The following is a 15,684-nucleotide window of genomic DNA, read 5'->3' as shown; positions in this document are numbered from 1 at the left end:
AGACTTATTCACCACCATGAGAACAGTATGGGGGAAACAGCCCCCATGATTCAATTATCTCCACCCAGCCCTGCCCTTGACACATGGGGATTATTACAATTCAAGGTGAGATTTGGGTGGGGACACAGCCAAACTATATCCGCTCCCTACCTTTTCAACAGCTTGAAGTCATTAATGGTAAAGTTGTGATACATTTGGTTCATGTGACATCATCTTTTAAAAATCCTAATAGGATTAGAACAAATTCATTTTTAGTCTAAACTTCTTTAGAAATAAGACGTTTTCTGATTATACTTAATTTTAAGAGGAAATGTACATTCATAACAAATTATTATTATCCTTTTCAAGACCTGCATTATATTTAATGCCTTTTAAAAATGTGTAACCCCATCTCTGTGTTTATAAAAGAATAAAATTACTTCAGTTCCACTCCTAGGTCACTCCTATCTGAGTTGGTTTGGAAGGTGGCGGTTATGTGGGACATGGGGCCCTTCTGACTGCTTGCTGCTCTCTGTGATATGCCCTGCTCTCAATAGCACCCAGAAGTTTTACCTGCCTTTCAGTTTACATCAGTTTACATGTGAAACTGATATGAAAATGGCCCTTTGAAACAAGAGATGTGGGAGTAGCCTTAAATTATTCAGGATCTTTATTATTAATGAATGTGCTTCTGTGAGCCCTTAAAAATAGTGCAGCCTCAAAGATTACTGTTTTGCATGCAATTGCTAGACAACCAGAACAAGAAATCAACTCTACACAGGAATGCTACATCTGGAAACCTGATTTTACTCAGCTTCTGTCTTCTAGAACTGCTGAGTCATTTTTACGGAGGTTCCACTAGAATGCTTCTCTGCGGAAACTAAGAAAGGTAAGGACTTGGTGTAGAGGCAGATAGATCATATCTTCAGCTATCCTGTTGACTGGCCGGGAGGCTGGACCCTTCCAGGCCTACCTAGGAACTTCAGGAATTTCTACACCAAGAAGAGTTCTAAACTGATTTCCCATGCTACAACTTTTCTAAAAAATCTTATTTGAATATATATGGAAACTTGCTAGGTTTTGGGAAGTCTTAGATTACCACTATTATTATTATTATTATTATTATTATTATTGAGGCAGAGTCTTGCTCTGTCACCTAAGCTGGAGTGCAGTGTCACATCTTGGCTCACTGCAACCTCTGCCTCCAGCTTCAAGCAACTCTTTTGCCTCAGCCTCCCGAGTAACTGGGATTAGAGACACCCACCACCACGCCTGGCTAATGTTTGCATTTTTAGTAGAGATGGGGTTTCATCATGTTGGCCAGGCTGGTCTCAAACTCCTGACTTCAGGTGATCTGCCTCCTTCAGCCTCCCAAAGTGCTGGATTAGAGGCGTGAGAGCCACTGTGCCTGGCCACTGTTATATTTTTAAAGAATGAATGTAATCAGATTTTTCTTTAATTTTGCTTTCTGTAAAATGTTATTTATCTGCCCAAATAACTTGTGCTCTAATTCATTCATTCATTAGAAGGAGGGTAAAGTATTATTTAAATGTAATTATCATATAACTTTTTAAAAACAGTTTTAAACTACCCATGATAACACAGGTAGTTATGTACCCATGTTACATCTTTTTCTGAGAACTAATAAGGCTTTTCTTACACCACAACCCATTCTTTTTGCTGAAAATGAATATATATGTGTATATATATAGTATATTAGACACACACAGAGACTTCAAAAGTTCATGGAAAAATGGAATTAAAAGATAAAAATAAAAACAAATTTATTTATCAGCATAAGCCTTATCAAGTTCAAGACACTTTTGTAAGTGATAATACCAGCCATTTAGTCCATCCTTAAAGAACCGAGGATCCTGAGAATTTAACCATGTCAGTGCAGTCCTTTTGACATTATTAACTGAAGAAAACTAGGTGCCCTTTGAAGATTTTTTAAGATTAGGAAACAAAAAGAAAAGAGAAGGAGCCAAATCAGAATTGTAAAGTGGATACCTAATGATTTCTCTTCAAATCACTTGCAAAATTGTCCTTATGTGATGAGAAGAATGAGCAGAAGCAGTGTCATGGAGGACTCGCTGGTGATGCTGTCCTGGGTGTTTTTCTGCTAATGCTTTGGCTAACTTTCTCAAAATGCTCTCATGATAAGCAGATATTATTGTTCTTTTGGCCCGTCAACAAGCAAAATACCTGGAACATCCTAAAAACTGTTGCCAGAACCTTTTCTCTTGATAGGTCTGCTTTTGCTTTGACTGGACCACTTCCATCTCTTGGTAGCCGTTGCTTTGATTGTACTTTGTCTTCAGGATTATACTGGCAAAGTCATGTTTCATCTCTTGTTACAATTCTGCAAAGAAAGGCTTCAGAATCTTGGTCCCACATGTTTAAAATTTCCATTGACCCTGCTCTTGTCTGCAGCTGATCTACGTGCAATGGTTTTGGCACCCTTCTGGTAGAAAGCTAGCGCAACTTCAATTTTTCAGTTAGAATTGTGTAAGCTCAATCAGTTGAGCTATCTATGGAGTTGGCTATTGTTTCTTCTGTTAATTGTCCTCTTAAATTACAGCATTCACATTTCTTTAAAGAAAAAACTTCATTTTTTTCTTGCAAACTGATGTGGATGGTCCACTGCTGTGGGTTTCATCTTTCACATCCTCTCATCCCTTCTCAAAATGAGTTATCTCTCTGTGAACTACTGATTTCTTTTTTCCTTTCTTTTTTTAAAATTTAATTTTATTTTAAGTACTGGGATACATGCGTAGGACGTGCAGGTTTGTTACACAGGTAAACATGTGCCATGGTGGTTTGCTGCACCTATCAGCCCATCACCTGGGTATTAAGCCCTACATGCATTAGCTATTTATTCTGATGCTCTTCCTCTTCCTGCACCTCCAACAGGCCCCAGTGTGTGTAGTTCCCCTCCCTGCATCCATGTGTTCTCATTGTTCAGCTCCCACTTATAAGTGAAAACATGCAGTCTTTGGTTTTCTGTTCCTGTATTAGTATGCTGAGGATAATGGCTTCCAGCTCCACCCATGTCCCTGCAAAGGATATGATCTTGTTCCTTTATATGGCTGCATAGTATTCCATGGTGTAAACTATTGATTTATTTGGGGCATTGTCCCCATAAACTTTTTGTAAAGCATCAATGATTTTACTATTTTACCACCCAAGTTTTACCATAAATTTGACGTTTGTTCTTGCTTCCATTTTAGCAGAATTCATGTTGCTCTCAAGAGCTATTTTCAGACTGATATCTTATCCTTCTTAATGCTTCAAACTAAATCCTGTTCAGACATGCTTCAACAATCTAGTGTGAGTTTATTTTGGTACAAAAAAATTTTGAAATCCTTGCCTATTTTTTTTCAGAATATACATTTTCCACAAACCTCTTGTGTGTGTGTTGTTTGAACAATAGTTGCAACATGAAACAATTAACAAAGGTAGCTAATTGACTACTCTTTTAAAAATTAATTATTAACAGAATCCTATGTATACATATACATACATGTATGTATATATGCATATATATGACAAGTTGATAGCTTTTGTTAGAAATTTAATATGTAGAATGATTTAGCATAGTATTATTAGAAATTTAAGTATTGAGAGTTTCAAATTTTGTTCTTAAAGTTCAAGTAAATTGATATCATCTTAAAGTAAGAATACAGTCCACTCTTAAAATTACAATGCCTCAAAGCCTCTAAGTCATCATGGTATTAGTTTCAGGAGCTGTTCTCAGTTTTCTGAGAAGCGTGGTCAGTATCAGGAGCCTCTGCTTCTATGTTTCTCCCTGTTTTCTTCCTCCCAAGATATTTCAGTCACCTTGAACACCTTGCAGTCACTTTCCACAGGTAAAATGATTTGTTTAGTTGCCTTTTTGTTCCCCTGTCCTCATTCCTCTGCTGCAAAACCTTCTGCTTAAAATACTGGTTCATTTCTAGTTACAGGGACCCACTTGCCATCTGTCATTCCAGGAAATTTGTGAAATGGATCCAGATAAACAAGGTGAGTATTATTGTCAAGTTTCTGAGCATAGTTTGTAAACAGAAAAATTAGGCACAGATGTTATATTTTCAGACCTCTGATTTGAAGAAGAGTAAACATTTGGCAAATTTCTGGCTGAAAAAGAAACTGTTATTTGATTAAAGTGGCTTTCTCTCTCTTCTAAACAGAAATCCACCATGTACTGAAGAGTATCTGGTCTATTGTCTCGAAAGCACCAAAAATAATCTAACAAAAGACTTGATGTCAACATAATTACATTTGAATTGCTATTCAAATACACAGAAACTATTACCTTAGTTTTATGTATATTCATAGTTTACTATTAAAATGAAATTATCGTATATATTTTAATGTCATAGGTAAGTTCACAGTACTGTGTAGTTCAAGTTGGGAGAAAGGTCTCACAGTTGTCACTATATGAAAATTTTATAAGTGGATATGGAGAAACTAGTTCCCCTTTCTTCTAACATCGCTGAATGCCAAGTTAGGCCCAGAACTGATCTGTGGGATTTCTATTGCTAGATCTGTTTGGAGCCTTACTCCCCTAACCAAAATCTACATTGTTATCTTACTTGTTTTATATGAAATTCTGTATGATCCCTAGTTGTTTATCTAAAACAACATTATAAATGATTACAATACCTTTGGGTTTTCCAAATTTGGGCTCTCATATTAATACGCTTTACACAAAGCAGTAGGTAATCCATTCAACTCTCAATTTTCTTCTTTCTCAATTTTCTAAGGCAGTGTGTCTCAAAATTAGCATGCATCAGAATCACCTGAAAGGTTTGTTAATATGCTGCAAAGTTTGTGATTCCGTGGGTCTGGGAAGAGTCCAGGAATGTACATTTCTAACAGGTTCCCAGGTGACATGATGCTGCTGGCTTGGGACCACACTGTGAGGACCACTGGCCTACAGCATCTATTTTGGATCATTGAACTAGATGATGGACATTTGAAAGAATTGTATTATATCCACCTTAGTATCTGTGGAAAATAAATATACTGATGTAGCTGAGCAAAAACAAGAATCCTGGTCAAAAGATATTTCCCAATCATTTTGCTTCCATGAAGAAGAACACATGTAGCTTGTGTTACTATTTCTTTAAGCATCTAAAACTGCTTTGTTCATAGCTTTGGGCGTGATACATTTGGTAGTTTCTTCCTTTCTTGAGTTTGTTTTGTGTGTGTGTGTGTGTGTGTGTGTGTGTGTGTGTTTGCATCGGCAGAAAAAAAATGTAAAAGTTAGCCTTGAGGAAGTGGGTCTGGTGTTGGCTCACCTGGGCTCCTCATTCATTTTCCATGTTGCACTGTATCACAGCTTGCCGTGTTATGCTGCCTAACTTCATCAGATGACGCTGTAAAGCATAACTTGACAGGAGAGTGATGGCCAGATGGTAGAGCAGCTACAGAGTCGCTCCTCTACCAAGAGCAGCATCTGGGAACTTGCAGAGCCCCTTGTCTGCTGATTCTGTGTATCTGCTTGGTGCATCTGAGAGGAACCAGGGCACAAACATTGGCCAATTTCCAGAGGAAAGAAATGTTGGGCATTACACTATTGTAAATTATTTCCACCCTATTATGCCTACTCTCAATTTTTTTTTTCTCCAAACATAGGACAGAGGAGTTTCTGACATCTCCCATTCTCTAACATTGGCATCTTATCTGAAAACTAAGCATTTTTAAAGCCTAAGGAAATGATGAATAACAAAAGATTTAGAGCAAATTGTAGTTATATATATGTTTGTACCTCTTGAAAAAGAAAGGAAAACATGTAGACGGTTTTTAAACAACCTCTCTTGTTTGGGCGACAATGTTTAGGCACAGTCCACTTCACCTGAGGTAGATGTCTTTAATCCATGATCATATGCTGACTGTTGGATGGATATACATTCAGAGAGAGGCCTGTGGCATGTTCTCACTACTTTGGGATGGCTCTGGCCTGGGGTGGCTCTGGCCTGGTTCAGCACTCTAATCCCCTCTGTGGCTCCACACAGTGCCTGGCACTCAGTATCTTATGTGTAACAGCTAGTACTTTACCCCACAACACTCAAGGGCAAGAAACATCATTTCCTAAATCAAAATCAAGGCACTGTACCTTGATATGAAATTTAGGCTGAGTTCACTTTCTTTCTTTCTTTTTCTTTTGTTTTTTGTTTGTTTGTTTGTTTTTTGAGATGGAGTCTCGCTCTGCCACCAGGCTGGAGTGCAGTAGCGCGATCTTGGCTCACTGCAACCTCCAACTCCCTGGTTCAAGCGATTCTTCTGCCTCAGCCTCCCAAGTAGCTGAGATTACAGGCACGCACCACCACACCCAGCTAATTTTTGTATTTTTAGTAGAGGCGGGGTTTCACCATGTTGGCCAGGATGGTCTTTATCTCCTGACCTCGTTATCCACCTGCCTTGGCCTCCCAAAGTGCTGGGATTACAGGCGTGAGCCACCGCACCCGGCCACCACAGCCACTTTCTAAACTGATACTTGTTCCAACTTGCCTACAGCCCCCTTGAACTCCTATGGTTCTCTAACCTCCTCTCTGCCTTCCTAGCCCCAAGAACTTTCTCCAGCCAACCTCTTTGAATTATTCCAAATTCCTTTTGCATAATTATGCATTATTAACCTTTGGGAATTGATTTTACAGAGAGTGTTTAAGGGGAAAGGGTTAAACATTCTCCCTCACCTCACCCTACTCTGGAGGAAGATGCTGAGTGAACATCTCTTCTCCCAAAGCTGAAAGAAAGATGCTTCTGCCTGCACCCATATTTCTTCCCAAGGAGACACAATTATCTCCCACACTTCCCTTCCCAGCAAGCAACAAGACAACACTGGCCCTGATATATACGGGCAGCTGGCGGGCTCCCTGTGCTGGATAAGGATGCATCTGAGAGCTGCCGTCCCTAAGTCATCTCCCCTCCCCCTCGCCTCTGGGGAGGAATCTCAATGAGGAAGGCAAAGCCCAAGGAGGCTGGGAAATCCTGGACAGGCACCCAGTTTCTCCATCCATCCAAACCTAGGACCCAGGGCTTGACAGTTCCTCCCCCAAAAAGTAGGATTGGGACCCAGAAGGACCTAATAGCTCCTGCCTGTTCCTACCTGCCTGTTCCCTGATTCCCACCTGTTTCTACCTCATTCCTGACCTCCCATTCCAGCCACAGTGAGCAGCTCAGCATCTTATCCATCCTCCATGCCTTTGCCCAGTCTGTGTTCTCTGCCTGGAATGCTGCTTAGTATCTTAGACATCTGTTCCTTCAACATGCACTAAGTAGCTACATTAGCACTACTAATGAAACGCTGAATAAGACGAGAAAAAAAAAAAAAGAAATTTAGGCTGAGTTAAGTTTGGGAGGGAACTATCCCTGGGAGACAAACAGAAAGCTCTAAGGCTGCTATCTTGAACAACTAACTGGTCAAGGCCCTAACTGAAGTCCATTGTGACCACCACTTGTGATGCTCTCTGCCTTTGGCTTTGGATTCCACTTGAAGACATGGGACTCCATGTCAAGACTGGACACAGAAGTCCTTGTCACACCTGTGGCTGGTCTCCCTGGCTACACCATGCAGCCATTCATTCCCCCACTCAGGGGTCTGCTAGGAAGGACAGCCCTGGAAACACCTCCTAAACCCAATCTTAGTCAGACATCTCCCAACTTCTTGTCCAGGCATCAGCCTCTCTCCGCCTCCAGGAAAATTCCAGATTAATTCTTTCATGGGCCTGTCCATCTTTTCATACAAAGGCCTGAGTGGAGGTGACTTCAAGAGCCGTCTTTACGCAGTGGCTCACGCCTGTAATCCCAGCACTTTGGGAGGCCGAGGCGGGCAGACCATGAGGTCAGGAGATCGAGACCATCCTGGCTAACACGGTGAAACCCTGTCTCTACTAAAAATACAAAAAATTAGCCGGGCGTGGTGGTGTGCGCCTGTAATCCCAGCTACTCGGGAGGCTGAGGCAGGAGATTGGCATGAACCCGGGAGGTGGAGCAGTGAGCCGAGATTGCGCCACTGCACTCCAGCCTGGGTGACAGAGCGAGACTCCGTCTCAAAACAAAAAAGAAAAGAAAGAAAAAAGAGTGGCCCTTAAACACAGAGACACTGTTAGATCTCCCAGAGGAGTGAAAATAGCTTAGACTTACAAGATGAACACAGAAACATTGCCTTTCCATTCTTTAAATTCTCCCCTTGCTGCAAGAACGAGACAAAAATGAATGTCACCACAAATGACCTTGCCACATATGTTTGAATCAAAGAAGTACACCAAGCAGTTCCTTGTTTCATTTTTGCTCAGGGCCTGTTCCAAGGCTGGAGACTCGGCTGTGTTTCTAGTCACAAAACTCCCCAGCACACCCTGCTAACTCCTCATTGCCTGAGTTTTATGTTAATCGGCTGACATTACATTTGAAAGTAGTTTCATTTTCCTCAAGACTTCTTCCTCTGGGCACCATAAATACAAGTAAGTCTTGGCTTCAGAGCTTGCTTGTGTGTGAAATCCTTGCCTCAGAATGAGCGTTTCTGGGTGTAAACTCTAATTGGAATTTGTTATCACCGGAAACACTAGAGATGCACCACTGCTTGGCAGTTCTTTCCAAAGTTTGTGACTGATTTCCTCTTTCACCCTTCACTATAACTGTGCAAATCTTCACTATTCCTCAACCCCACCATGTCCTCCTAACTCTAAATGTGTGAACATGCCCTCAACTTTACAAAGAAAACAGAAGCTCTCAGACATGGCCATCCCCCCAGCGCATCATCTCCTTTTATGCTTCCTTTCAGGGAATGAGAGATGGCTTCTTACCAAAGCTAATTCCTTCACCTGTGCATTTTCCTCCCTCTCTCTACCACAGCGATGGGAGCAGTTAGCAATACTTCAGCGATTGTGGCAGAAAACTTACCTCAAAAAGGCTGTGTTACCTTATAAAATTAATAACCCAATCAAGAGATCTACTGTACAGCATGGTGACTATAGTTAATAACAATGTATTATATTCTTGAAAATTGCTAAGAGAATAGATTTTAAATATTCTTACCACAAAAAATAAATATGTGGCATAATGTATATGTTAATTAGCTTGATGTAGCCATTCCACGAGATACACATATTTTGAAACATGCTGTGCATGATAAATAATACAATATTTATTTGTCAATTAAAACAAATGAAAATAAATTAAATAACCAAAGGAAGGACTAGCTTTCCTGGGCTGGGACATTGTCACCAGGAAGCGGTTTCTCTCCATCTCTAAGTTCATCTCTGCTCACCCTTGTGTGTTGATTTCATTCGCAAGCTACACAGCCTGACAAGAGGGTGATTTCTGCTCCAATCTACAATTCCAAATTCAAGTCGAGAAAAAAAATTCTGCTTCCCTGATAACTTGAACCAAGAGTCCTTGAACCCAGATTCATTGGAACATTACTTGCCTGACTTTGGTATGTACCCACCTCTGGGGAAGGCGACGGTGCTCTCACTGATGGGCTGGGCCTGGGCCACATGCCCCCATGGAAGTGGGAGAGTTGCAGTTGACACTATTGGAATTTCATGGACTCAGATTAGGGGAGGTGGTTCACCTGGAGAAAGAAAAATGGATGCTGGGTGGCTAAGGGAACATGTGCCCTCTGAGAGGGACTTTGCTACATCATATACTACCTGGATCCCCTACTTCCTGAGTCCTCAACCCCACTCTGTCTCTCCTGGCTCCTCCTCCCTGACCCATACATTCTGGAATCTCTCCTGCCTTTGAAAACCACTTTCGATTTTATGTGTTGTTCTAGCTGTGGCTCTCTTGTCTTCCCTTCACGTTATAAGATCTTGAAAAAGTTGTCTGGTTGTATGTTTTCTCCTCACCTTACACTCAGTGCTCCATCCTCTGCAGTTTGATTTTGACCCCCATGACTCCACTGAAACTGCTGTCACAAAGACCTTCAATAATCAAACTAGTCATAAAAAGCAGAAGCAATAAATTCCCTTTATACCAGTAGTTTTCAAACTTTCGTTTGCATCAGATTTACCCCCGGGGCCTGCTAAGACTCAGGTTATTCCTTAGATTCTCACCCCTAGATTCCGACGTTGGCGACTTCTTAGACTTTTGTTAGAAATTGTTTTTCTCCCAAGTTCCCAGGCGATGTTGCTGCTGTGGTTGGTTCAGGAACCATACTTTAAGGTCTACTGGTTTATACCAACAATAAGCAGTTAGAACAGGCCATTTTAACTGCCTAAAATAAACTAAGCTATTAATGTGTATGATCTTATATAACTTTATTGAATAACATTAAAGATAATATGACTAAATGGGGAGATCTACTCTATAGTTATTTTTTCTAGATATGAAGACTGATCATTTCAGTCTTCAGCAACAGAAAGCTCCGTTGTAACGTTGTTATAGTCTCTTAAATTAAATAAAAATCAAATTTGGAGCATCAATGGAAAAAATTTAAAATTGTGGGTCCTTAAGAAAGGTAAGAGAATTGAACAATGAGAACACATGGACACAGGAAGGGGAACATCACACACTGGGGCCTGTTGTGGGGTGGGGGGAAGGGGGAGGGATAGGATTGGGAGATACACCTAATGTTAAATGACGAGTTAATGGGTGCAGCACACCCACATGGCACATGTATACATATGTAACTAACCTGCACATTGTGCACATGTACCCTAAAACTTAAAGTATAATAAAAAAAAGAAAAGTAAAAAAAACAAAAAACAACAACAAAAAAAAGAAAGGTAAGAGAAACAATTTAGGAAGTATATTGCCTACATTTTCTTATTTAAAATGTGCAAATACCCTTTGAGGAATGTGTTATAATTCCCATTTATCTGAAGAAGAAACTGAAGATCAAAAGTAACTACTTTTAAGGAAAAAGGAAGGAACAGAACTAAGTATAGCTGGCTCCAGAGCTCTCTCCTCTCCTCTACACTGTGAAATGGGCAAGTACACACTCAGTGCTCAGGAATGCTCGCTATTGTTGTACTGCTATTGGTGATGGTAACTCTCAAAAGAAGGTATATTAATAATTCTTTTTCTGATTATAAAAATAGCCTACACTTTTTATAGAAAATTTAGGTAATATTGAGCAGAGAGAAAATAACCGCGAACACTAATAATTCAAGCACTCAGAGATGTCCACTGTTAACAGTTTGGTGGTTGGTACTAGAAGTTAAGCTCCACAAGGGTGGCCATCTTTATCTATCTAGTTGAATGCTATATTTCAAGGGCCTAGAATCATGCCAGGGCCATATACTAAGGGCTCAATAAATATTGGCTAAATGCATGAGTAGATGGATAGCTTTGGAGTCTTTTTCATTTATGCATAAATGCATGTGTCCACATATAACTAGAATATATTTGCAAACTTGAATTTATATTCTACATGTAGTTTTTTTTATCCTGTTTGTTTCAAAGGCCATTGACTTTTTATATAAAAAGTGGACAGATTGATGGAGTATTCCGTCACTTTTTGGTGGACTGAGAAGGTGAACTAGGTTCACCTGTAGCCCTAGAATAATGTAAGTCTATTTTTATTTGTTTACAGAAAAAAAAAGAGCTCTAAACCTTAATTTCCTCACCTGCAAAATAAAGTAAGCTTACATGATCTCTAGGATTTCCTTCCATGATGTGGGATTTATATAATGAGAGAGACTTTATTCATAATATTTTACGTTTTCTTTACAGATGCTCTTAATAGTATTGAGAATTCCATTTATAGAACAGCCTTCAAATTACAATCAGTGCAAACTCTGTGCCAGTGTAAGTATAGGCTCTCCTGAAATATTTGAAATAATCTGAGCTTGATGTGCGATGTAAAATTCATAGAGAAAACAAACACTCCCCCCATGCAGCTGACTACTGGATTCTGGAAGTCTGGACTTGTGCATTTAGCCCATTCGTGACAGAGAAGATGGAGGATGGGAAAACATCACGTGCAGGCAAACCATGTGTAGTTTTGCTGATGAGCAATAGAAATAATTGTGCATGAGGATTTTTAATTTTTTAAATATTTTCTCCACTTGGCTTCTTCTAGAAAATGTTTTTGGTTTCCTTTTCAGGATACCAATATGGACACAAAATAAAATTGCAAAAAAAAAGTATTTTCAAAACTGCACTTATAGATTTAAGTATAAAAATATAAAATTCCATCTACCACGTAAGATTTGCATTTTCAAGTTGTACCTATAATCTATATATGAACATGCAAAAGTAGGTACAAATGAATAAATAACCCATGGACCATGAATTTTAAAACTATCTCGAGAATTCCCTGAGAACTGCCCCTTTTTGCAGTAAATTTATATCTGATTGAATGTATGGTTTTCTTTTCTTTTCTTTTCTCCTACTGTTATCTAGGCAAAATAAGGTAAAATGTTTTTACTAAAACATGTATCCTGTGAAAATTTTCCAAGGTGAAAAATAAACTGGGTCCAAGCTATGAAACACATCAGGCATTCAGCATATCTAAAGTTATTGATTTCTCACTGCATGAAAGAAAAATCACTTCACGTAAAATGATTTCTGAAATTTATCATATCAGACCTAAGAGAAGTTATGTTATATATATGACATTTCTACTGAAGGCTGACATTTAAAAATATTTTTCCTCCTGCCTAAAAAGTTATATAGGGCAGTGGTTTTCAAATTGGGCTTCACAAAATATATGTGAATGTAGGGTAGGGCAAAAAAGAGTTAGCCAGGTGGGAAGAGGAGTTGCAAGCAAGGTGGGACGATTCAAAGACCACATCCTCAGCAGGAACAACTCCATCCTTCTCTATTTTCCATACCGTGTTTGCTTGTATGTGTGTGTGTGTGTGTGTGTCTGTGTGTGTGTAAGCTGGGGTCTCACTCTGTCACCCAGGCTGGAGTGCAGTGGAGGGATCTCAGCTCACTGCAACCTCTGCCTCCCAGGCTGAAGCCATCCTTCCACCTCAACCTCCCGAGTAGCTGGGACCACAGGCGTGAGCCACCACACCCTGCCAATTTTTTGTATTTTTAGTAGAGACAGGGTTTCGCCATGTTGCCCGGGCTGGTCTTGAACTCCTGAGCTCAACTGATCTGCCCACAGTGGCCTCCCAAAGTGCTGGGATTACAGGCATCAGCCACCGCGCCTGGCCTTATACTGTGTTTCTGTATTAGGTTCCTTTGAAGAAGAAATTTTTGGTTTTAAAAACAGTTTTATGTAGATTACTGCTCTAGATAAAGAAACTCACTTATAACTATTATTTATTATTCCAGGAACAAACAAAAAGCTAAAAATTTACCCCCAATTATGCATTTTCCTGGAGAATTTCTCCCATTAGAGAAAGTTAGCAGCAATTGTTCACATGTCCCAGTCACGAATGCCTGAGTATGTTCCGTAGCGTAATTTGTGGATGCACAGTTTTCAACTTTTTGTTATCTCTGGCATCAGAAACAGTGAATATAAATAACACTCATGGGAAATATTAACAATACACAAAATCAGTGGTTGAAAAATGTTACCTAGAAAAGATATCCAAACAAAAATTTAAAAACAGAAAATCCCAAACACTGAGATAAAGCATAACATGAGCTCCAAATAGGAAGATCGGGGACACATCGCTGTATAAATCTTGTGGTGAGATTAATGGACACCACTATTATCTGGTTTGGTGTAATATAGAACTCTCAGCAGGAGATGAAATCGGCCTGTGTTCAGAATGCCTGGCTGAGGTGACAGGTTTTAACGATAAAAGAGTTTACAGCCTTCACCACCTGCAGCCAGGTTTTTATTTAAGTCACATTCTGAAACTTGTTCCTCTGTTCCTTAGACTCTCCTCTTAAAAGCAATATCAGAGAACAAATAAAAATTTTTATTATACTTGCTAGATTTCTTATCTGAGGTTGATTTACGAAGTAGAGAGAAACCCAGGGTTTTATGGTTTCACAGGCTGAAGCGTTTTAAATGCCAGGAGCTCTTGGCGCTCTTGATATCCCCACCTCTCAGATGGTGCAAGTGGCTGTTTATTAATTTTGTCTGTCATCCTCTCTCTGCAAGAAGCTATGGGGTTAGCTCTATTACATTCTTGTTTCTATTCATTGCCTTGTAAAAATTTTAGGAGAAGGTGGTTAAAAAATATTCAGTATAAGAAATAAACCATTATTTTTTGTAAGCAGCTGTAGTTTTATTAAGTGCCTTCTCTAGATAATAATACTGATGGAACCAAGATTGTTAACAGTGGTATTACTGAGTTGCAGAATTCTCAGACTCTTTAGCCTAAAGATCTTTACAGAAGAGTAACTGCTCTTTTATGAAGATCACTGTTTTGTATTTAACTACGGCAATTGCTTTTCAACACACCATATTGCTTCTGAAGCTGGGCTGCAGACAAGAAAAACTATATTTGAACAGGAAAGGTAAATTTATTCAATCCACTTAATGAAGAGTATAAAAATGTTTTCCCCAACTTTTTACCACAGTGTCATAACTTTCTTGGAAAGCGTATTTTTCGTTTCTCACTTCCCTTTTTAACTTCTTTCTATAAAACAACATCCTAGAAACTGTACTGGTAATAATGTTACAACTATGCTTTACTAACAGATGCACCTTTCCAAAATCAAATGAATCGCTAGAATAGTAACGCCTGAAGTATACACAAGGAATATATGTCCAAATAGTAGTCATATTTCATTCCCCTTAAAAGAAAATAGCGACCATAAAAAGTCTTAATTATAAAACACCAAATGACATTTGCTTTATTTGAAGCCTTTTGTTCCCATCAGAAAATAAGGCTCAATTCTTCATTTGCTTCCTACAGTGGACTTGATTGACAGCTCCCTGATTCAGCAGGTCCTACTGCGTCCAAGTTTCTGGGAAGCTCGCAAGCACTCCCTTTCTGTGCAGCAACTTTCTCAGGCACTCCAAGAGCTGTTTCAGAAGGCCAGGGAGGAAAACCCAGGACAAGTGCATCCCAGAGCTCCGGAACTCACTCTGAGCCTTCTCACGACAATGTACAACAGGTGAGGGTGTGGACGTCGCGCTGTGACCTCAAAGGCAAAGTTTAGTTTCCAGTGGTCATTTACCATTTGGTGCTGGCTAATATTTGCTTGAGGTTTGGTATATAAGAAGTCTTCTTTGTTTGTTTTTCACAAATTTATTCCTCAGGAGTAGAACAAAGGAGTAAATGCCCATCGGCTTTAGGAATATAAATGACCCATGGATAGCAAAAAGAGGGAGAGAATTCCACATTATTCTTTCCTTCAGACAAATTCACTCCTACTCTAGAGAAGCATACACACCTTTTGCTAGGGCGTTTACACTTCCATATACACATGTGAAAAGCGACACTTAGTTCTTGCTACTGCTAGCTTCTTTGCTGATTTCTTTGTAAACCATTATCAATTGTTTTTTTTTTTTTTTTAGCTAGAATAAGGTTGAAAATCCTGTGCATGGATGGGTAACCTATAAACCAGTGTAGACCATGTCAAAGGGCTGATTGCATATGCTCTGAAGTCAATAGTTCTGCTAGTGTGTGGTAGGGGTGCGTGTGTTTTTTGAGCTGTAAGGTTTCAATTCCTCTGCCCCCTCCTCGATTTGGTTTACCTTATGTATCATTGACTCAGTAGACTTCATCCTTTAGAATTCATCCTTTAGAATAAACTTTTCAAAAATCATAGTGAATTCAAAACATTTGGAAAGTAGACGAAAAAAGTAAAGAAGAAGAAATACATTATCACCCATCA

General features: G+C 39.5%; 1 protein-coding gene across 1 annotated transcript in view; it reads left to right on the top strand.

Annotated features, from left to right (window-relative positions):
* The first annotated feature begins 3,866 nt into the window (after positions 1-3,866).
* The window catches only part of DYTN (dystrotelin), a 66,776-nt gene continuing 54,958 nt past the window's right edge, over positions 3,867-15,684 (top strand). Inside the window, exons 1-3 of the mRNA NM_001093730.1 lie at positions 3,867-4,002; positions 11,665-11,739; positions 14,760-14,961. Of these exons, the coding sequence (NP_001087199.1) occupies positions 3,984-4,002; positions 11,665-11,739; positions 14,760-14,961 (296 nt within the window). The 5' untranslated portion in view covers positions 3,867-3,983. The remainder of the gene's footprint in view (positions 4,003-11,664; positions 11,740-14,759; positions 14,962-15,684) is intronic.

This window comes from Homo sapiens, chromosome 2, assembly GCF_000001405.40.
Source record: "Homo sapiens chromosome 2, GRCh38.p14 Primary Assembly".
Lineage (NCBI taxonomy): Eukaryota > Metazoa > Chordata > Mammalia > Primates > Hominidae > Homo > Homo sapiens.
This window is presented reverse-complemented; position numbering and strand designations above follow the sequence as displayed.